Genomic DNA, 23,349 nt, shown 5'->3' on the forward strand with positions numbered 1-23,349 from the left:
GACCATAGAAACAGGCAAACATATAATGAACTGAACTGGGCAAACTGAGTTCAAGTCCTGGCTCTGAAGTATATACAGTAGAACCTTGGGCAGATTGCTTTATTCCTTTGTAGCTTCAGTTTCCATTTCTATAAAAGGTGATAATGATATATCTTTTGCAGAACTGTCAAGAGTGAAATGAGATAACGCATGGGAAAACGATTTTCTATAAGCCACAAAAATATAATAACTCAAGGTACATCACATAATTAATTCATTCCACAAACACTGAGCACCTACTAATGTCAGGAACTGTACTGGGAACTAAGAAGACGAAAGTAAGTCTGTCATAATACTTGCCATCAGGAAGACTATAAATAAAAACTGAGTTTAATAAAGTCTTCTAAAGCATTATAATTGGGGGAGAGAGGCATTTAGTGTAGAGAAAGCTCAGTGAAATCAGTTCTAACCTGCAGCAGGGTCAGAAATGATTTCATAAGGAATGTGACTCTTAGGGTGAATCTTGAAAGAGCAGGTAAACTTAGGCTGTGTAAGAGAAAGGACACTCCATGTGAGGGCACAGCATAAAAGTAAGTGGCCCAACAGGGAATGGTGGTGCAAGAAACTCACTGTTTAAAGAGAGTGGAGACTTAGGCCCTGGCTAAGATATCGGGACTTTACCCTGCAGGCTATGGGGAGCCATTGGCAGGGCTGATGTGGGGAATGACTTGGTCAAAAATTTGTATTTTAGAAGGCTTACTTCGGTCACAACGTGAGATGGCAAGGGTGGAGGTGCAACAAACTTAGAGGCAGTGAGACTAATAAGGAGAGTAATATAGTGTTTCAGGGTCTTGAAACAAGAGACCTGAAACTAGGCAAAAAGCAGTGGAATGGAGGGAAGGTGATAGACAGAAATGATAGGTGCATGGATGGGCAGACAGCAGATGAGAGAAGGAAAAGCCTGGGATAATTTCCAGATTTCTCCTTTGGGTGACTAAGTGGATTGTGGTGACATTTACTGAGAATGAGACTAGAGAGAAAAGCCAGCTGGCAGGAAAGTTGAGTTCTGTTTTAGTCAAGTTGAGTTTAAGGCCGATGGGACATCTGGGTAGAGATTTCTGGTAAAAAGTTCGTTTTATAGAACTGGAGATGTGGGACAGAAATGGAAATTTATGAGTTATCAGCACATGGTTGGTAATTGAAGCCATGTGCCTAGGCAGCATTAGAGACAGACTAAGGGCAAGACCATTTAGATGCTCCAACATGCAAGAGGTGGCTGAGCAAGAAAAGGTTAGGAAACACGGAGACCGAGGTGTCACAGAGCCAATGGAAGGGATGGTTTCAAGAATAAAAATCGGGGCCAGGCGCATTGGCTCACTCCTGTAATCCCAGCGTTTTGGGAGGCCCAGACCAAAGGATCGCTTGAGGCCAGCTTGGGTAACGTAGTGAGTCCCCCCTCGTCTCTACTAACAATAAAACAATTAGTTGAGCTTTGTGGCGCCCGCCTGTAGTCCCAGTGCTGGAGAGGCTGAGGCGAGAGGATCGCTTTAGCCCAGGAGGTCGAGGATACAGGGAGCCATGATCGCGCCACTGCACTCCAGCTTGGGCGACAGAGCGAGATCCTGTCTGAAAATAAATAAATATCTGATCAACAGTGCAAACGCTGCAAATAGGTCAAGTAAGACGGGCATTGGAAAATATACAATGGTTTAGGGGATTTTCAAAACCACGAAGTGACTTTCGTCAGTGCAGTCCCCGTGGAACAGCCGGCACAGAAGTCGGTTTGCAGGATCCTGAAGAATTAGAGGGCTGGGGACGGGCTAGATCAATTATGTGTTTTTGACTTGACGATTTGTTTTTAAAATTTGTGAATGCATTTGACATGATGGCATGATTGAGGGCCCTGAAAAGATGCTGAAAGAACGAACCTGAAAGTCCAGGAGGGGGAGTAACCTGTGTAAAGCCAGTCACACTTGGACTGGAACTAGATGAAAATCGCTTACAATGCCAAGATGATCCGAAACGCTTTTTCAAAGGGCAGGAGGAGACTTGCTGTTTACTGAGTGCTCACTGAGAGCCAGCCCATGTCCTAATTTGAGTCTAGGGATAAAACTGGAAGACAGATCGACTCCTTAGCCGGTTCTTTCCATGAAAACGTTGATAATGAATTTAAAAAGCACGCCCTCAAGTTTAACCTCTCCTGTAGTTGGTAACCCATCTGCATTCTTTTGAACGTCACAAGGAAGAAACGGTGCCCGGCGCAGCTTGCCCTGGAGCGTAGCTGGAGTGCGGCTGAGTTTTCGCTCCGCTGAAGCCGGTTACTGTCCAGTGGGATTTCGCTCAAGCCTCAGCACCCCCAGGAGGGGAGGCGCCTGCAGCGCGGGCCGCCAGCGTTTGGAGGGAGGCGGGTGCGGGCTGCACCGGGAGACGGCGAGAGCGAGAGACAGGGGCGCTGGGAGGCGTCTCCCGGGACCCGCGTCTGCTCCCGTCGCCAGCGCGGTGGCCAGCCTAGCCCAGCCCAGCCCGGGCTTTCCTCGCCGCTCTCCGCGCGCCCGGCCCCGGGGGAGGCCGCTCCTTTCCGCGCGGCCGCCCGGTGCCCGTGACCACCCGGCGGCCGCTTTCGGTTCCGCGCCTTATAAGGCCTGACAGGGGGGTCACGTGTGTCCCGGGCCACCCGCCGGGAGGAGGGGCGGCGGGGGGGAGGGGCGGGTAGCGGGGAGGAAAAGGGGAGGGCGCCGGGGGCGGAGGAAGGAGCGAGGGGCGGATTCTGCGCCCGTGGGAGGCTGCGGCGGTGGCGGGGAGCGGACCGCTCGGAGCCGCGCAGGGGAGCGGGACCGTGGAGAAGGAGGAGGCGGCGGAGGAGGAAGGGACCGGCGCGGGGGCGGGAGAGCGCGGCGGAAGCCGGAGACGGCGGGTGGGCCGGTGGCTGGCCCCGGGCGGGGAGCCGGGGCGGCGGCGGCGGCGGCCGAGAGGGACCGCGGCGAGGGAAGCGCATCCAGGAGCCCCGGCGCAGCGGCGGCGGCGGGGACCCGGGTCTGCGCGCCCGGGCGGCCGGCGGGCGCGGGCTGGCGCGATGGAGCCTCAGCACGTGCGCCCCGCGCCCGGCGCCCGCAGCCCAGCGTGGGAGGAACCGGTGGGTACCGCGCCCGCGCCCACCCCCTCCCGCTTCTCCTTTGCTCCCCCCGCCCGGGCCGGGTTCCGTTCAGGAAATGGCCCGGGATGAGGTCCCCAGCTGCTTCCCAGCCGGGTTAGCGCTTCCTCCGCCGCCCGGGCTCCTCCTCGCGCGCCGCCTGGAGCGCCTTTGTCCGGCTGATCGAGGCTCTCCCCGAGGAACCGCTGGCAAACCGCTGGCGACGGCCCTGCGAGGACCGTTTCCCGGCTTCACCGACTCCTCAACTTTTCACTTGCTTTGAGACCGTGGAATGTAGGCGGGGGAGAGGAGAAGCCAGGCTGCGCGGTCAGCGTGGGGAGTCTGAGGAGCCCGGTTTTCCCTGTCGAGACCGCGCCCTGGTCGTCACCTGGGCGCGCAGGTTCCCGGGGACACGCGCCTGGAGAGGCTGAGCGCGGCGCGGAGCCCAGAACCACGCCTCCGACTCCTGCCAGCCGCTAAAGCTTGGGCGTCTGGAGGGTGCAACGGGTTTTGCCGGGGACGAAGCAGAAAGCTGACTTCGCTTTCGCCTGGGATTTCGCTGCACACGCAACGCGGAGGTTGAGTAATTTTAGGAACCAAGAGTAGTGTGTGTGCGTGTCTTAAGTGTGCGAGGATAAGGAGGAAGAGACCAGGGGGCTTTGGATTTGTTCCCTCAAACTCCCTCAACTTCCTTCTCTCTTCCGATTCAAACAGAACCGTCTCACATCCCTCCAGGGATTCCACCCCGGAATCCCCCTCTCACTCAGAGCTCTGGAAGCCTGTGTGGGCTGCCTTTTCCCTGGCGTCGAATTTTGACTCTCCACGCCCTGCCTCGATATTTGCTACTCCTTCTTGGTTGACATTGTGAGCCAGTCTGAAAAGCCCCGTCCGAAATTTCTGGCCTCACCCATGTTCCGGTCAACGTGTTCGGATGCTGTTTTCCCAGGGACTCTCCGAGTCTGCTCAGGCCGGCCCTCTGCCTGTTGAGAGCCGCTAGGTCAGGTGCCAGGGTTGGCTGTCCTTTTTCTTTTCTAGTATATACGCTCTCAGCTCCTTTGCCCAGAGTACCTCCTTTGCCCAGAGTACGTTTCTCGGCCTGATTCCTGACCTTTCAGAAGCGTCCTTCGACTCTGATCCCTCTGCATCTGCAGCTGTCTTTGCTTTCGTGAATTTGAACATGTCGTCAGGTTGCCCATCTGCTCTTGTTTCTTCCATTGTGGTTATCACAGGGGCTTAAGCTAGTCTCCAAATTAAAAATACAATCCAGTTTTGAAGTTTAAATCAAAGATCATTGAGAACTAAATTCAGTGACTTTACTTTTAAACTTTCCTGTAGGAACCTGCATACTTTAAGCCAACACCAATCACAATGGAAATATCCGGGTGTATGTGTTTTGCTTTAGGCTGCTGATGTCGGAACTACTTAACATTTAGAAAATTAGATAATTTTTTTTTCTTCTCAAAAGTGACAAGTAAAATGCTCATTTATTTTCCACAGAAAATATTCAGTTTCCAGTCTTAGCACTGGAGCCTCTAAAACTAGAGCCCTAACATAAATGTGTGAATGGACTACAATACTTTATTCAGACTGCAGAGCCATCTTTTAAAAATTAGGTTTATTTTCTTTAAACACTGAAGGCCTTTTCATTTGCTCTGCACCTATTTTCATTCCGCACCTATTATGTTCCGGGACTGTTGGATAGCAGTTACCAACAACAGAGAAACAGATCCTTGACCTCAGAAAGCTAACGTTCTTAACTAAACAGAATGTCTTGTTTCGTATATGTTAATGGTTTACAATCAGAAAGTCACAAAAAATACATTCAGAGATCATGGCTATGTGGCATAAAATAATACTTTTTACAAGCGACTTTATTCTAAACCCTGTGGTCGTACAGATATCACCAAGTCCATCGAAGAACTAATGAAGGGAATTTTCATTTAACTTCTTAAAAAAGACAATTTATCCAAATTACTAAAAAGTGGCATATAAAGATAAATGTGGGATACATTAGGGAAAAAAGTAGTGTTTAAATGTTAAACCTTTCAGGCATTTGGAGCAAGGGGAAAAGGGGGTGGAGAGACAGATTAAATATGTTTTGAAGGGACACAAAATCCATCAAAATTGGGGATTTGTGACCTTTTTTGGGGTCAGCAATCCCTTTAAGAATCTGATCAAAGCTATGGACCCTTTTTCCCTCAAACATGCACTTATGTGACATATATGTTACATACATATGCTTTATATATGTATTGATGTGTGTGTGTATATATATATGTAAAACATTTTAATACAATTTCAAGAGTACCACAGATTTCTTTAAGACCAATCTGTGGATCCTCAAAGACCTCAGGTTAGGAATACCTGCTTTGACTTGGACTCCATTTCAAAGTTTTTTTTTAATTTAAAAACTTTTTTGTTTTGTTTTTTTTGAGACAGGGGCTTGCTGTGTTGCCCAGGCTGGAGTGCAGTGGTATGATCGTAGCTCACTGCAGCCAGGAGGGATCCTCCCGTCTCAGCCTCCTGAGTAGCTAGGACTACAGGCACATGCCACCATGCTGGGCTCATTTTGGATTTTTTTTGTAGAGGTGGGATCTGCCCAGGCTGGTCTCAAACTTGTGGCCTTAAGAGATCCTCCTGACATGGCATCCCAAAGAGCTAGGATTACAGGTCAGAGTTATGTAAAATTTGCTTTTTAAATTCAAATATAGGCAACTTAATGCTTTACCATAAAAGTATGCTCATTTACATTTATGAAAAGGAATGTTCAATACTGAACAATATTGAATACGCTTAATATTCATTCTGTTCAATAATGAACAGATCCTGTTGCATTATCCCTTATGGGATAACATAAGGGCATGTACATATAACAATAGCATGCATGTAACCATTTACTCTCCTCATTGTTTGAGGCAGTGTCTCACTGTGTCACCCAGGCTGGAGTGCAGGGGCCTGATTCTCAGCTCACTGCAACCTTTGCCTCCTGGGCTCAAGCAATTCTCCTACCTCAGCCTCCCGAGTAGCTGGGACCTATAGGTGCTTGCCCCCATGCCGGGCTAATTTTGGCATTTTCTTGTATAGATGGGCGTGGTGGTGCGCACCTATAGTTCTAGATATGTTGCCCAGACTGGCCTTGAACTCCTGGGCTCAAGCGATCTGCCCACCTCAGCCTCCTAACGTGCTGGGATTACTGGCATGAGCCACTGCACCTGGCCTCTCCTCATTCATTTTTGATGGAACCTAAAACATGATGGTGTGATTCTGCGTGGAACTATTCAGGCAGAAGAGTAAACACAGTATCAGGAATTGATGCTGACAAACAGTAAAGAGAACAGCACTTCTTTCTTTTTTTTCTTTTTCTTCTTCTTTTTTTTTTGAGACAGACTCACTCTGTTGCCCAGGCTGGAGTGCAGTGGCGCCATCTTGGCTCACTGCAACCTCCGCCTCCTGGATTCTCCTGCCTCAGCCTCCCAAGTAGCTGGGATTACAGGCGCGTGCCACCATGCCTGGCTAATTCTTTGTATTTTTAGTAGACACGGGGTTTCACCTTGTTAGCCAGGATGGTCTCGATCTCCTGACCTCGTGATCCGTTCGCCTTGGCCTCCCAAAGTTTTGGGATTACAGGAGTGAGCCACTGCGCCCGCCCCAGCACTTCTTTCTTAAAACGCAGCCATGTTGAGCTGTTGCTGAACTTTACGACACGATTGGGAGATGAACTGAAGTTAGTTAAGCGAACCATTTAAATAAACGATCAGCCTTAGCATTCTGGGGAAGTCATTGGGCCTAAAGAAGATAAATTTTAGCATTCTAAGTTTCTGTGTATTTTCTTTAATGCTAGCTTTGAAATGCAATCAAATTTCAGTGGAAATAGAGGCATAAACTAAATTTCTAATCAATTAAAAAATACTTTAGTGGTGGGCATGGATGGGTAGAAAGATATTTAGCCAAACAAGCCTTACTGGGGGGAAAATAGGTAGTTAGAATTCTAGCCAACACTTCAAAAATGTGGAAGTATTTACAAAGTAGTCCTTAGTTGGGGGATGCTAGAGTACACTTATTAAAATTTGCTTTTGGTGCTGTGGCTCATGCCTGTAATCCCAACACTTTGGGAGGCCGAAGTGGGAGGATCTCTTGAGGCCAGGAGTTTGAGACCATCCTGGGGAAGATGACCAGGGGGAGATGATGTCTAAATAACAACAACCACAACAAAACTAGCTAGGACTGGTGATGCATGTCTGTAGTCCCAGGTATCCTGTGACTACCCTGGGAGGCTGATGCCAGAGGAGCCTTTGAGCCCAGAGTTTAAGGACGCAGTGAGCTGTGATTGGCCATTGCACTCCAGCCTGGGCAAAAGAGCAAGACTTTGTCTCTAAAAAAAGAAAAAAAATTTGCTTTATTTTGAAATGGTTTTATACTAGTTAGCGCTGATAAAACTATCCAGGTCGAAAGGAAAATTAGGAAGGAAAGAGTTTCAAAGGATAGGGCCAAAATGTAAATGAGAGGTTATAAACATCTTTGCATTAGGTCTAGATGATGAAAGGTTTTTGCCTCAGATACGAGGATGACCATATGTATATGCAGTTAATATCACAGTTAATCCCCAAATCTTTTTCATTCAGGTAACAACTAAGGAAATGGTAATAGGTTAAAAGTTTCGAATGTTAAATTCTTAATATGTAGCAAATAGCGTGTTCTTAAGTTTTAATTAAGGCAGCTTCTCAATGCCTGTACTTGGTCAACCTGCAGTATTCTTTGCATGGTTCCTTATTGATTAGGAACACAAGTCCTAGAACACTTTGAACTCTTCAGGATATAAAATGTAACATTCTGCGTATTTATGGCGTAATATTTAAGATAAAGCCATAGAATATGTGAGATTTGAAAGTTGCCAATGGGTATAAAACCCCTTTTGTTATGAGTAGTGATCAGTAAAAATACAATTCAAAATACCTCTGTAGAAAATAATACACGAATATTCATAAAGTTGACATGAAATTTGGCTGTGACTTACACATCTTCAGTCTAATAGGTGTTCTTTGTTTTAATGGGCCAGGATCTCTATTAAGTAAAAACCTAATTTAGGGGTAGCTACCACCTATTTCCATTTCACCCTAAATGCAGTGTCTACACAGCTTATGTTGAAGTCTTTAATAGTGTGTTTGTCACATGTTCTGAACAGAGATTTCAAAGTAACAATAAAAATGTAAGATGCATCTAAGCAATTACTGAAAAATCTGAAATCACTAAGTAAGGAAAAGATCAAGGAATTCTTATAAATCAAATAAATAATGTAAGATACCACATATTTGAAATTGTTTCAGTTGCTATTTTGAGCTACATGGTTGAAATGGTTGGAAAGATTGAGACCTTGACCTTGTAATACTCTTGAGGAAGGTGAAGTACATTGCAGGTACACAGTGCACAAATTAGATATTCATTCTAAAAACTTCTAATTTACAGATAAGACCGAGAAGAGGCTAGTAAGTCAGGTATCTTAAATAATGGATTCGTTGAAACTGGCTCTTCAGAAGAGGTGATTGCAGAAGTGCAAAGCTGGCTCTGAGGTTAAATCTTTATGAGAAAGGAATACCTTTACTTTGAGGTATTAAATGGCTCAGCTCTGGGATATGAAACTTTTTAAGTATCTTTAAGCAATCAGTGTTCAAATCAAAGAGTGAGATGCGTAATCTGACCTGTTAAAATCACAAAATCAGGCTGGGCATTAGATAATGCCTTTCAGTTTAATCACTCGCTGCCTGGATTCTGGAAAATGTTGCTATATAAAACACATAATGTATGAATAGAAGTATATGGTAACTGACAGACTTTTGTTATACAGTGTGATAAAGTGAATAGAACATTAGAATACTAACCGCATGATTTTGACTTTGGTCTCAGTTTGTCAGTTGGGGCCTTAGTTTCTTTACATTAAAGGAGAAGACTAAACTAAGTTTATTCTTTCAAAAGACCCTTTACTAGGTGTCCTTGTCTACATTTCCAAAATATTGGACTTGTCCATGACCAAACAGGTGGGAATGAAGGCCATTATTTTGATTATTTTTCTCTTTTAAGAATTTCCAGAAATATGTTCTTTGTAGATAAAGAATTACATATTTGTAGAGTTCTAAGCGTTCTTAAAATTCATTTTGCCCAACTCCTTCCTTTCCTAAAGGAGACAACAGAAGCTGCAGAAATAGCCTCTCTGTTATTATTACATAGCAGCAGTCTCCTGTCTTTAAATATTTGAACTAAACACATTTTACATTTTAATGAATTTAATTTACAGTGTGATGTCCAGTATTGGGATTGCATACTATTTCTTAAAACTTCTTAGAACTGTTAGCTCTAATATATCAAATTTCTTGTTGGGAGTAAGACTGCAAGTTAAAAAAAAAAATTAGAACCTTAGTTTGGAGGAACCTTAAAGGTCATGTCAACTGAAAAAATACGAAAGGAATGGTACTGAAAGGCATGAACATAACAGAGATTGAATGCTTTCTCCAGGTGGAGAGACTCCACAGTCTGGCAGGGACTTTTTGTCCTATTTAAAAATATAGCTAACACCAGTTTGGTGTTCTCTTTGGATGACAAGAGGGATCTGTCGTTTTAATGTCTTCTCTCGCAGCCCCCTCACCGCAGCCCCCTCACACCTGTGAGGCTTCTTTGACGTTGAGCGTGCACAACCCGCTGCCAGTCCGCGGTTCCCAAGTGCCCGCGCAGCCAGCTTGCAGGGGAGTTGTGCGCGGTGGCTACAGCCTGTTGATCCCACTTCCTCCTGCTCTAGTCCGGGCTAGGGAGTGGCTCTGCCAGGACTTCCAAGGCTTTTTGTCTCGGGTACTGGTGTTCGCATGGCTCGAGTGTATTGTTTTCTTCCAGGCAATCTCGGTTAGCGCTTCAGCTTAGACACTTCTTGTGCGTTCTGTCGTCTTGGGCTGCGTGTAGTCTCTTGTTTCTGCGCTTTCTCCACGCCCTTCCCAGTTTCCTGTTAGCCGAAGGGGATCGCTCTTTCTGAACGAAAAGTTCTCAGAGCGGAGCTGAACCTCCCGGAAAATGCTCTTCTCTTCCGTGTGCGCCGGATGGGGGTGGGGGTGGGCCAGAAACTGAACGCCGCCGTCAGGAGAGCTGAGGGGACCCGACGGCCCTGGCGGAGGCGGGAGAGGTACGGTCCTCGGAGTGGGGCTGGGGGTGGGGAAACCGACGAGGGGCAGCCCCCGACTGTCTTGGTGGCAGAGGGGACTTTTATTCAGCTGGAACCGCGCGGCGAGGCCCAAGTGTCTCTGGAGAGATTCGGGGTTCAGGAGGTGGCGGGTGCACCCAAGGGTGCTGGGAGGAAGCTCCAGGTTCCCATTCTTCCCCAGGGATCGGCGTTGCCCCTGCTGTCCAGAAGTGAGAGGGGGTGTGCGGGCATCGCCACTACGGGGTGGGCTGCAGAGGTTTCCTGCCTCCCCCACCCTCCTGTCCATCCTAGGGACCCAGACCGTAAGGGAGTGGAAGAGATGTTGCTCCAAACCCTGTCACCCCATCCTCTCTACCCGCGCTGGTCCTATCCGAGGCTGGGTGCGCAGGGGTCCGAGGCGGGCGGGGGTCCGTTACCTCTGCGTCCCACCGTGGCCGCCGCTCCGGCGGGAACCGAGCGGAGGAGCCGGGTGGACCCCTGCCTGGAGGGCGCCTGCCCCGGGCGACCCTTACCTCGCGGGGGTAGCTAGGGAAACGGAAGATGGCGGCGGCGGCCGGGCACGGGGTTCCGGGCTCCGCTCGGGCAGAGCCCACCCGCTGACCAACGCCGCCGCCCCCGCCGGGCGGTGCTGTGTCCCCGCAGGAGTCGGAGAGGATGGCAGGGGCCGGAGGCCAGCACCACCCTCCGGGCGCCGCTGGAGGAGCGGCCGCCGGAGCCGGCGCCGCGGTCACCTCCGCCGCTGCCTCGGCGGGGCCGGGAGAGGATTCGTCTGACAGCGAAGCGGAGCAAGAGGGACCCCAGAAACTGATCCGCAAAGTGTCTACCTCGGGGCAGATCCGGACCAAGGTAGGGCGGAGGAGGCGGGCCTGAGGGCCGCGTGGAAAGCGGGAGGTGGAGAGGGCGCGGGGGCGCTGGAACGCGCCGGGCGATCCCGGGAAGGCGGGGAAGGCGGGGAAGGCGGGGAAGGCGGGGAAGGCGGGGAAGGCGGGGAAGGCGGGGAAGGCGGGGAAGGCGGGGATGGTGAGACGGTGAGGCGGGGCGGGGCCTGGGGCGCGGGCGGGGCGGGGAGGGGTGGGGCGGGGCCCGGGGGCGCTGGACCGCGGTGCTGCGGGACGGATTCCCGGCGGCTGCGCGGGAGGCTGCGAGCCTGGGCTCCCAGGGAGTTCGACTGGCAGAGGCGGGTGCAGGGAACCCGCGGCTCGGCGGGAGCGTGGGAAAAAGCTGACGCGCAGTCGCGAGTTCCTACTTAGGGAACTTAAAAGGAGAGTTTCAATTTTTCTTCCCTGCCGTTCGGGGGAGCGTGCGCATGTGCTGGCCAACCAGCCTGCGCTGCAGTGAGCCCTGCTGCTTTCCCACTTAGGCCCACTCAGAGGGTGGGTGGAAGGTGACACCGGTCAGCCTTTCCTGCCCCTCTGCCTCCTGCTGCGGTCTGGAAGGCAGAAGCCCCGAGGCAGGCAAGTGGGACATGGTGTTCGCGGCTTAACCGCACCCTGCATGGCTCCAAGGGCTGGCCAGGCTTTCGTGTCGCAGGTTCCCGCCAAGTGCAGGCAGGGTTCAGAACCATGCGTCCATGGTTCTTTTTAATAATGAGAAGTTACCTCTGTGCTGTGTGGACATTAGGATGGTGTGTTACTCTTGTTAATGAAGCTTGTGCTGTCGACCTGTGAGGTCTCAAAGTTAATTTTTAATTTGATCATGAACATACCAAAGCAAATGCTTATGGATATTAAAGGATTTTTATGTATTCTAATTTTCATTGTAATTTAAAAATCTTCACAGAGAGAGTCTGTTATCAGTAGGGAAATTTAACGAGGATATTGAAAACGGAACCACAAAATCATTGGCTTGGGGTACCGTTTTTAAAAATAAATTTGCAAAAAATTCATTCTACAGTTATTTTTATGAAAAATTTTCCCTAAGGTCAATGAACTCCTATTTGGAAACATAATTTTTATTCAGTGCCTGTGGAGGCCGGTAACGGTGGCTCATGCCTGTAATCCCAGCACTTTGGGAGGCCAAGGCAGGCAGATCACTTGAGGCCAGGAGTTCCAGACCAGCCTGGCCAACATGGTGAAACCCCATGTCTATTAAAAATAAAAAAATTAGCTGGGCTTTGAGGCGTGCACCTGAGATCCCAGCTCCTCGGGAGGCTGAGGCAGGAGAATCGTTTGAACCCGGGAGGCGGAGGTTGTGGCGAGCAGAGATTGTGCCACTGCACTCCAGCCTGAGCGACAAAAAAAAAGCTAGTGGATTAATGTTTGTAGTAGCCTGCCTCCTTATTTTCTGAAATACATGTGTGTAAGAACAACACACAAGAACAACTGTTGACAAGATGCACTTACTAAAGAGTTAGGGATTCAGTCACTTTAGTTAAGAGTACATCTTGTAACTCCTTTTAATAGTGACGTTTTTGAGTTTGTAGTAAATTAAGAATATGGCATTTAATGTGTTTTTTAAGATTAAGGCTTTTACAAAGTTAGGGACTTTCCTAAAAGTGTTTTTAATATTTCAAATCTTAATTCTGAAAAAAGTTCATAAACTGTGTTAATGATGGGCAAAATGGCAGGTAAAAAAAAAAATTGTATAGGGGCCGGGCATGGTGGCTCACGCCTGTAATCCCTGCACTTTGGGAGAACAAGGTACCTGAGGATCACTTGAGCCCAGGAGTTCAAGGCTGCAGTGAACTGAGATCTTGCCATTGCACTCCAACCTGGGCAATGAAGCGAGACTGTCTCTTAAACAAACAAGCAAACAAACAAACAAACGTGTATGTTACATATTTATATGAAATGGTCAAAATTCCATGCATACTTATATCAGGATTAACCAGTAGATTTATACTGTTCGAAAGAAAACTGAGAGATGGCTCTAAATTGAATTGAATCATGTCAAACAACAAATTTGTTGGGAGTACCACTGTATTTTATAGGTTTCATGCGCTCGTTGTAATAGCTAAGATTATATGCTTATGGAGACTACAAGTAAATTTAAAAAGCACATTATTTGTGATTTTCTATCTGACTTTCTAATAAAAACATTTAGCACATACATTTTGCCATGAGAGATCATTTTTGACTATGAAATCAAATATTGCTTGAATTTCAAAAGTGTATTGAATGTCAGAAATTCAGCATTTTACAATTTCTCCTATGTTAGAGTGCATGTAAGTTCATCAACATTTTCATATATGAACACTTGAGATCAGGGTATAAGATTCTGAGACCAGTGAGCTTCAACCTCATACCCCGCCTCCTGCAACTGGACTGTTCATGTATGTCACAGACTTCATTATTTACGTCTTTTATCACATATACTGATTCTTGGGGAAGAAAGTGAGAGCAATAGGGGGAATTTATAGAATGAGAACTACTAAATTTAACGTTGGTTCCCAGTCTTCAATTATGATTCAGATGAGAATTAAGGAAGGATCTTTAGAAAAAGACAAATACTTTCTGTGTCTCCGCACAGGTGTGTAAGATGGGAGCACCTGGAGGAGAGGTAGGCCCTAAGATTAGCTCAAAGCCATCTTTTTTTTTTTTTTTTTTTTTTTTTTTTTTGAGATGGAGTTTCACTCTTGTTGCCCAGGCTGGAGTGCAATGGTGTGATCTCGGCTCACTGCAGCCTCCACCTCCCAGGTTCAAGCGATTCTCCTGCCCCTGCCTCAGCCTCCCGAGTAGCTGGGATTACAGGCATGCGCCACCACACCCAGCTAATTTTTTATTTTTAGTAAAGATGGGGTTTCTCCATGTTGGTCAGGCTGGTCTCGAACTCCCGACCTCAGGTGATCTGCCCACCTTGGCTTCCCAAAGTGCTAGGATTACAGGGGTGAGCCACGGCCTCAGCCCCAGTCATTTTTAAGACAGCACAAGCAGTTCTTGCTCATCTATCCTGCTTTGTCAGTAGGTCAAAACTGGTCAAATATGGAATGCTTCATATGGTTCAATCTAATATGTCATCATTTAACCAGTTTTTTGCAGAAGTAAATATGGGTTGTTTTAGGACAATGCACTAATCTCAGCTTTTTCATAGTGGATTTGATGGTTTTTAAGTAAAGAATGGAACTGGTATGCTTTTGAAATCAGTGTGGCTTAATAAAATCCTCATGTGTATTTTAGCACCCTCATCATAACTCCATACAGTATACTTTTTGTTCCCCTTTTCATTTTCCATTTATTCCTGGTTTCTTTGTATGTCTATGCTGTCCTCTCTACTATTTTCCTCTTCCTCTGTTTTGAACTTTTTCCTTTCTCTGAATAACCTAAGTGGAATTTCAGGTGGTCTCATCTAGCCACTCAGGTGCTAAACACTAAATGATTTTATGCCTGCCTTTATTTCCCAAAGACAAAAAGTCACTTATGTACAAAAGTGAAAGTGGTGCTGATGCAGGAAAGCCAAAATGGAGTCCTAACACTTGTCATATCTCTTCCCCCTCTTTACCTTCTTGAGTTTTTGGATTTGCATTCAGACATACTGTTGTAGAGAATTTCACAGGTATTTACTGAGAATAAGATATTTTTGAAACAACGCTAATACAGATTCAGACAAATTGGGTTTTGAGGATGAATGTGAAAGAAGCTTTGTGTGTTTTTTGTTGGCCCATGAATACTGCAACCTTTCATTTTATGGGAATGGCTGGAAGAAACTTGGTCAGGCTTACAGCCTAGGATTGTTCAACAATCATAAACCAAACAGTATAAACAAATGGGAACCATCTCAATGACTTTTTCTGCCTTTGGGTCATCTCGGCTAAGGTTGTGAAGCTGCATGTGTCAAAAATACTCCTGATGAGGTTTATTGTGTTCTCATTTATTTTTTATTTTTTGACATTTATATGTCTTCTTACAGCTAATGGCCACAAATGAGTCTCTAAATTTAGGTAAAACATACCTAAACACTAAAAAGATATTCAGAATTTTGCATCAACATTTTATCTAGGCTGAGGGCGGTGGCTTATGCCTATAATCCTACCACTTTGAGAGGCCAAGGTAGGACAATCAGTTGAACCCAAGAATTCAAGACTAGCTTGGGCAACAGTGAGACTCCATCTCAAAGAAAAAAACAAACCCAAAAGAAGACCAAAAAACACACCAGTATTCTATCTGGATTAAGATATATTTTTGGTGCAGCAAACCACCATGGCACATGTATACCTATGTAACAAACCTGCAGGTTCTGCACATGTAACCCAGAATTTAAAGTAAAATAAAAAAAAAATCTTACTACTACTACTAATTATATATATAACTATATATATAACTATATATAACTATATATGTAACTGTATATATATAACTATATATGTAACTCTATATGTAGCTATATATAACTATATATATAACTATATATAACTATATGTATAACTATATAACTATATGTATAGAACTGTAACTATACATAACTATATATAACTATATATGTATATATATAACTATATATGTATATATATAACTATATATGTATATATATAACTATATATATGTATATATATAACTATATATGTATATATATATATTTTTTTGAGACGGAGTCTTACTCTGTTGCCAGGCTGGAGTGCAGTGGCATGATCTCGGCTCACTGCAACCTCCGCCTCCTGGGTTCAAGCAATTCTCCTGTCTCAGCCTCCTGAGTTGCTGGGACTACAGGCGCATGCCACCATGCCCAGCTAATTTTTTTGTATTTTTGGTAGAGACAGGGGTTTCACCATGTTGGCCAGGGTGGTCTTGATCTCTTGACCTTGTGATCCACCTGCCTTGGCCTCCCAAAGTGCTGGGATTACAGGCGTGAGCCACCACGCCTGGCCAAAAACATGTATTTTTAAGCCCAGTAAGGATAATGATCACATTCTTCAATTGATATCTTGGTTTTAATTTAATATGAAGGATGTATAAGTAAACTCTTGTTCCTTTATGGTAAGGCAGTATATGAAAGTATTGATTTGCATTTTTCACTGCCTTACAAAGTACAATTTGTGCCATTAAAACATTATCTTTCATCACAAACCCTAGGTGAAGTATGCTGGGGAAGCCTTGCTCTGTGTTTTTGAAATTGTAGGTGGCAGCCCATTACTGGGTCATATGGTTCATGGCCAGCATTTAAAAGAGAAACAGAATAAATTAGGAAATATTATTTAAAACTTTTAGCTAGAGTTCTGTGTGGAAACATGGGAATCATAATGATCCAAATAGATGGGAAACAGAAACATGGCCAGAAGAATATTAGGAAATGAGAGTAAAGTGATACTGACAGCCTTATTGCTCTGAAACTCAATATGAAATGAGAAGCAAGTAGGAACTTTTACATTTTGATAGGTGATGAGCAGAAAGATATCTCAAGCAATTAACACACATCCAGGTCAGAAGTTGGCTAACTTTTCCCATAAAGGGCCAGATAGTAAATAGTTTAAATTCTGTGGGCCATAAGGTGTCTGCTGAAATTATTTAACTCAGAGAATGGAGGTTACTAAGAAGGGGAGGGTGCTGGGGAGAACTGGATAACTCCAGAATAATTCTGAGAATAAGTTCTTATTCTGGAGAATAGAATAAATTCTTTTGTACAGTAAGGTGACTGTAGTAATAATAAAGCATTGTATACTTGAAAATTGCTAAGAGTAGATCTTAAATGTTCTCACCCACAAAAAATTAAGTATGTGAGGTGATGGATATATTAATTCGCTTGATTTAATCATTTCACAATGAATACATACATGAAAAATCACTCCATGTACCAGAAATATGTACAATTTTTATTTGTCAATTATACCTTAGTAAAGAAAAAGAAAAAAAATTACTCTACTTTGTCATTGTAGCATAAAACAGCCATAGACAATACTTTAAGTGTTGCTGTGTTCCAACAAAACTTTATTTAAGGACACTGAAATTTGAATTTCATGTAATTTTCATGTGCTAAGAAATATTATTATTCCTCTTTTTAAGAAATCAGTTTGAACATGTGAAAACCTTCTTAGCTCGTCGACTATATAAAATCAGGCGGCCGGCAGGATATGGCCCATGGATATAGTCTGTGGGCTGTAGTTTGCTGGCACCTATGTTAGAAAATGGAAGGTAGTATAGTTAGGTTTGCCAAGCATTGCAAAGTTAAGGTGCTGTTAAATATGATCCACATTTAAGGGACCAAATAAAGCTAGATTTCAGTCCATTTAAAAAATCTAATCTTTGTAGAACATTTTATTTTTAGCTTGGTTTGCGTCTTTGCTTCCATTTTAATGTGAACTAAATATAGACTGGAAATTCTGACTCTCAGTACAGTAATATATGGTATAACACCTTTCTTTCCATTTTGATTACAAGTTAAACATGATATCCCATTATTAAAGATAAGAGACATAATAAATAATTTACTAAACCTTTACATATAACTTAACGATGCCGTATTTTAAAGTATCTAAATTTAGAACTCTTTCACTTAGTTTAAGTTTGCTTGTTTGCTGTTGTGGTAAAGAGGCAAAAGGTTATATGAAACTACCAGTATAAAGGACGTGGGGCCCCGTTCTGTTTCCAGGGTACAGTGTTTTTCACTCATATTGGATTTGTTAGGCTTTACTTACTCAGGAAATGTGTTTATAAGCAAAGGTTTTAATTAAAGAGAGTTTGTTTTACATCTAAGAATAGACCTTTGAAAAAGGCCATAACATGTTAGTACATTACAGTTTCCCTTGGCAAATTTGTTTGGTTTTGTTGGATATTGAGTATTTTACTCTATGACTATTTAGTCACTGGAAACACATTTGTAGCTGGGCACCGTGGCTCATGCCTGTAGTCCCAGCAATTTGGGAGGCTGAGCTGGTAAGGTTGCTTAATGCCAAGAGTCTGAGACAAACTTTAGCAAAACAAGGAGACCCCATCTCTATAAAACATTAAAAAATAAGAAAGTTAGCTGGGCGTGGTGGCACCTGTGGTCCCAGCTACTTGGAACCACTGCTCTCCAGCCTGGGTGACAGAGCAAGACCTTGCCTCTAAAACAAAAGAAATAAAGAAACATTTGTATTTTTGAGTTGGTTAAATGATTTTAAAGTGGTCAACAGCTATTGGTGATAGTATTAAATTAGGAGTTAATGTGCATCATTCCTATTTTATATAGTTCCTTATTTTTTTTTCAAATGATCATATATGGTAATAATTCTCTCCCTCCTGCTTTTTGTTATGAGGCTATTTGGGAGACTGTTAGGCTTCTGTTTTATATGAGGAAGTACGGTTAACTTTGTCATGTGTAGGGCTGGAATCTCTGACCTTCTCACTGTGTCATTTGAGTATCAGCACTTTTTCAGACCACCAGAATGTAATTTAGCATAATAGATCTTTTTAAATACAAGCTTGGTGCATTTAATTCAGAAATTTAGAAATACTTTTCTATTTAGCATTTTATTGGTTACAGAGCAGTTTTCTATACATGATCTTATGGAACAGTTGTGTACAGTTACCTAAATTTTATAAATGATTATACAAAAGTTTGAATATCTGCTGAGTAACGGACAAAGCTGGAACTCAAAAGCAGTTCCTTCTGATGATTGTACCCATATCCCTTTCACAGTGGATTAAAATGGGTGGGTTCCAGATGCCTTGCTTTCGGTAGCCCTGTAGCTTCTTGGGCAGTGAAACTTTAATCTACAGCATGCAATCATGTGTGTGTGCAGGCAGACAGGCTCCTTACTTCTCTTGGCCTCTCTCTCCTTCTCCTTCCCTTCGCTCTTTTCTCTCTCCCTTAGATTCCTCTTTTCCTCTCCCTTATTTCCCCCTTCTTCCTGCTCCTGCCTTTATTCGTTTGTTTAATCCATGAGCATATCTCTCATCAATGTTTTAGGTTTCATCATGCCGTTTTGCATTTGGATCCTACGTTTTTAGGGACAGATATATGACTGCACATTTGAAAAGTAAATTTTGAAATAAAAAATTCCAGCTGAAATTTATATTCATTTGAATTAAACTTAACAAAAATTATTGAGACTTTTTAACGTACTTTTAAAAGGATTATTTTAGAAAAAAATGCTTCTAGGTACCTAACTCTTCAAATAGGTTTTCAAAGAAAACTGTTAGTTTCACTTCTATAAGGTAAGATGCCATTTTTGAAAGGTCATGGTATAGTGTTAAAAAGAATCATGTGAAGTAATTTTCCACATGGCCTATTAAAACATATTTGAGGAAAAAATATGAGTAAAATTTATTTTTACCTAGCTAGAGAATGAAAACGACAGGAATTTTTTGGCCTACTTTTCTCCATCTCACTATTTTATGTAGGTAAGAAAAAGTGCAAGAGTTTTATCTGAGCAGGCACGGTGATTTGAGTTGTATTGTTCCTCGACACTCTTGTAGTACTTTAAAATTATGTGATATTATAATATTTGATATTTATAAGAATATATAATATCTCTGTAGTTTGTGAAGCACAGTGGTAAAATGAACACCCGTGAATCCAGCTTCAGAATGGGAACATTTTCAATATCATGCATCTTCCTGTGTGCTCCTTCTCAGTTTACTCCTTTGTTGCTCCTCAATTCATGCATTCAAAGAAATATCTATGGTGTTCCAAGTACTGCTGTAGGTACCAGGGATAGAGCAGTAAGCAAAAATATACAAAAACCTCTGCCCTCATGGAACTCACATTTTAATGCAAGGAGAATTTATGAACTTGTAAATACTTGAAACGCATAGTATATGAGAAGGTGATAAGTGCTATAGAGAGAAATAGAGCATGGCTGTGAGTGGAGGTGGAGTGGGAAGGGATTTTTAGGCAATGAGCCATGTGGACCTCTGGGTGAAGAGCAGGCTAAGTAGAAGGAACAGCAGCTGCAAAGAGGGAGGTCAGTGGGGCTGAAGGGGGTTGGGGGGAACCAAGTAGAAAGTTGAAAGTGAGTTAACAGTGTCCAAAGTAAGGTACTATAGAGAAAAGTTCTTAGCCTGGGTTCATGCATCCCTGGTTTTGTTGGGTTTTAGAGGGCTCTCCACCAAAGTTTATGTCTATGTGTATGCCCCTCAGAAGGTTAAAACCACTGATTTGTGAAAGGGAACTGCAGGTCAGAAAATAGAGATAGGTGAAAAAAATACATATATATGTAGTAAGTCCTCACTTAACATCGTTGATAGATTCATGGAAACTGACTTTTAAGTGAAATGACATATAACAAAACCAATTTTCTTTCTCATTGATGTTATAATGAAATGATGCATGAAAAAGTGTTATTCTAGGACCTACTGTACATCATTTCACTTAACATCACAGTTTCTGAGAACCTATTGATGTTGTTAAGTGAGGACTTACTGAATACACAATATAATTCCACAGTAATATTGAACTCTTGAATATAAACCAGCTGTTGTCATTTTCATTTGGAGAAATGTTAAATTTGCTGGTGGGTTCAATGAAATGGAGTGAGCCAGCGGCATAGAATAGCAAGGTTCCTGGAGAAGTTAGATAGTGTTGGGTTTGATTCTCAGCTTGTCATGTACTATATTATATTAGATGACCTCAGACATGTTACTTAAGGGGGCAGAGAATGCTGTGCCCACTGATAACTGTGTTTTTCTATTCTTCTTGGCCCACCATTAGACTTCCTTTTCCCCTTGCAGATAGATGGAGCTATGTAACTGACTTCTGGCCAGTGAAATACAGGTGAGAGTGATGTCTGTCACTTGGCCTCTCAAGCTGTGGGACTCTCCATGCCTTATGTTTTCCCTCACCTGCCAGGTAGATACAGATTATCCAGTGGAAGCAGCCTGGATCCCTGAATGACTTCATGGAGCAGAGCCCTTTGTGCTCCTCCCTGAATCCCATTAGCCACATTGGATTTTGACATGAGGGGGAAATAGAGCTTTATTGTGTTAAGTCCCTGAGATTTGGGCATTGTTTGCTATAGCAGTTAGCATACCCTGAGCAATACACATCATCACTCTGAATTGAGGATTTCTCCATTTCCAAATTGGACGTAGTATTCCTACCTTGTAAGGTAGTAATGGTGATTAAATAAATATAAAATATGTTTTTGTATCTGTAATTATTATAATTATTTTAAAAAATTGGTATTAAAATTCTGATAATTACTCCTATGTGTGTCTTTTACATAATTTAATCTGTGGTGTGTATAGGCCACTGTCTTTTGTTAATGATTTTTCAAGTGTCTTTTTTCTTTTTTTTTTTAAGACGGAGTCTCGCTCTGTTGCCCAGGCTGGAGTGCAGTGGCATGATCTCAGCTCACTGCAGCCTCTGCCTCTGGGGTTTAAGCGATTCTCCTGCCTCAGCCTCCCAAGTAGCTGGGATTACAGGTGCGTGCCACTGTGTCCTGCTAATTATTGTATTTTTAGTAGAGACGGGGTTTCTCTATGTTGACCAGGCTGTTCTTGAACTCCTAACTTCAAGTGGTCTGCCCACGTTGGCCTCCCAAAGTGCTAGGATTACAGGCGTGACCCACCGCGCCTGGCCTTCAAGTGTCTTATGAAAAAATATTTTAATAAGAATGAATGACCACTTGGAGGTGGTAGTGGAAATAATTGGCCAGGTTGGCTTTTAGGTGCTTCTATGGCCTGTTCTATTTAATCTTGAAATATCTTTCTAAGAGCCTTCTTATCTGCCCTTCTTCAGCTTCTATTTACTCTTCATTCTACTGCAGCTATTTCATGAAACTTCTTTTGCAAAGGCCCTTAGTAATTTTAATTGCTAAAATCGAGTGGTCTCTAGTTTTCAGTCAACTGCTTCTTGCCAATTTGGATGCTATTGACCACATCTTCTCACATCTTCTCTTCTTTTGCTTTCAAAGTTTAAGTTCTCTCTCTTTTTTCTTTTTTTTTTTTTTTATATATATAGAGTCTCACTCTGTCATTCAGGCTGGAGTACAGTGGCACAATCTTGGCTCACTGCAAACTCCGCCTACCAGGTTTAAGTGATTCTCCTGCTTCAGCATTTTGAGCAGCTGGGATTACAGGTGCATGCCACCACGCCTGGCTAATTTTTGTATTTTTAGTAGAGATGGGGTTTCACCGTGTTGGCCAGGCTGGTCTCGAACTCCTGACCTCAGGTGATCCACCGGCCTCGGCCTCCCAAAGTGTTGGGATTACAGGCATGAGCCACTGGGCACAGCCAAGTTCTCTTATCTTTCTTACTGTCTTTTCACTGCCTCTTAGCCTCTATCCCTGATTCCTTTATCTATTGTCAAATGTTTTTGTTTCCTAGAAGTCTTAATTCTGTTTGCCCCTTCCTAAGTTAATGTGATTAATTAGATTAGGCTTTGACCACCACCTCTATCGGTCTTTTTCTAGCCTGTACTTCTGAGATCTGGGCCTCTAGTTCCTTTGCCTACCAGACATTTCCTGTAGGGGGTCCCCTAGCCATCTCAGTCTCCGTATTCTCAAACTGAACATATTTGTGCAGTCTACTCATTCCCGGCCAAATTTTGCTCCACAGCTTTTATGTCCTGTAGAATAAATTGCCTCGTATAGAAGGGATTGACTTTTTGTCTTGCTAATCACTATCATTAATTCATTTGCTTTCATCAAATACCCATTTAGTGCCTGCTATGGCCAGGCATAGTGTTAGGTGCTGGTGATTTAGAAGTGTATGAAAGAGACACATCCCCACCCACAAGGACCTCACTCATAGTCAGTGGTCACCAAATTTGTTCATTTCTGTATATCTTAGATCTTATTTAATCCTCATAGTAAAACTATGAGGTAGGTAAGTACAATTATTCTCTCCTTTTTAGAAATAAGAAAACCAAAGATTAGATAAGTAACATGCCCCAGGTCACACATGTCAAGTGACTTGTTTGATGCCTGATTTAACTGTTTTTGAAGTGGCTATGTTGTCTGGGGTATATACCCTGGGGTTCATTGTCACACTCCAGGAAAACTTAGGACATGGACACACAGGAGGAGTTTAGGAGCGGCGGTTTAATAGGTAGAATAAAAGAGAAAGGGAAACAACTTCCTCCATAGAGGAAGGGGTCTCCGAGCAGAAAGGACTGGCTGATGGCAAATGCACTGAGTTTTATAGTCCCGTTTGAGGAGGCGGTGTCTGATTTACATAGGGCTCACAGATTGGTTCAATCAGGTATGAT

At 43.8% G+C, this 23,349-nt stretch overlaps 1 protein-coding gene across 3 annotated transcripts in view, besides 6 other annotated features; it reads left to right on the top strand.

Annotated features, from left to right (window-relative positions):
• Positions 1,975-2,144: an enhancer, noted in NCBI's record as "active region_7637". NCBI's record gives its function as "activates an Ori minimal core promoter by ATAC-STARR-seq in GM12878 lymphoblastoid cells {active_cell/tissue: GM12878}" and the evidence as "EXISTENCE:reporter gene assay evidence [ECO:0000049][PMID:35858748]".
• DGKH (diacylglycerol kinase eta) overlaps positions 2,240-23,349 on the top strand; it is a 216,515-nt gene continuing 195,405 nt past the window's right edge. For 2 of the 3 annotated variants that reach the window (NM_178009.5, NM_152910.6), the window contains exon 1: positions 10,818-11,135. In NM_178009.5, coding sequence (NP_821077.1) covers positions 10,944-11,135 — 192 coding nt within the window. In that variant the 5' untranslated portion in view covers positions 10,818-10,943. Of the gene's footprint in view, positions 2,297-10,817; positions 11,136-23,349 lie in introns of those variants that run through there. The other variant, NM_001204504.3, reaches the window with a different exon arrangement.
• Positions 2,295-2,854: a silencer, noted in NCBI's record as "silent region_5294". NCBI's record gives its function as "represses an Ori minimal core promoter by ATAC-STARR-seq in GM12878 lymphoblastoid cells {active_cell/tissue: GM12878}" and the evidence as "EXISTENCE:reporter gene assay evidence [ECO:0000049][PMID:35858748]".
• Positions 2,875-2,964: a silencer, noted in NCBI's record as "silent region_5295". NCBI's record gives its function as "represses an Ori minimal core promoter by ATAC-STARR-seq in GM12878 lymphoblastoid cells {active_cell/tissue: GM12878}" and the evidence as "EXISTENCE:reporter gene assay evidence [ECO:0000049][PMID:35858748]".
• Positions 3,155-3,264: a silencer, noted in NCBI's record as "silent region_5296". NCBI's record gives its function as "represses an Ori minimal core promoter by ATAC-STARR-seq in GM12878 lymphoblastoid cells {active_cell/tissue: GM12878}" and the evidence as "EXISTENCE:reporter gene assay evidence [ECO:0000049][PMID:35858748]".
• Positions 9,965-10,054: an enhancer, noted in NCBI's record as "active region_7638". NCBI's record gives its function as "activates an Ori minimal core promoter by ATAC-STARR-seq in GM12878 lymphoblastoid cells {active_cell/tissue: GM12878}" and the evidence as "EXISTENCE:reporter gene assay evidence [ECO:0000049][PMID:35858748]".
• Positions 10,595-11,124: a silencer, noted in NCBI's record as "silent region_5297". NCBI's record gives its function as "represses an Ori minimal core promoter by ATAC-STARR-seq in GM12878 lymphoblastoid cells {active_cell/tissue: GM12878}" and the evidence as "EXISTENCE:reporter gene assay evidence [ECO:0000049][PMID:35858748]".

Source organism: Homo sapiens, chromosome 13 (genome assembly GCF_000001405.40).
Source record: "Homo sapiens chromosome 13, GRCh38.p14 Primary Assembly".
NCBI lineage: Eukaryota > Metazoa > Chordata > Mammalia > Primates > Hominidae > Homo > Homo sapiens.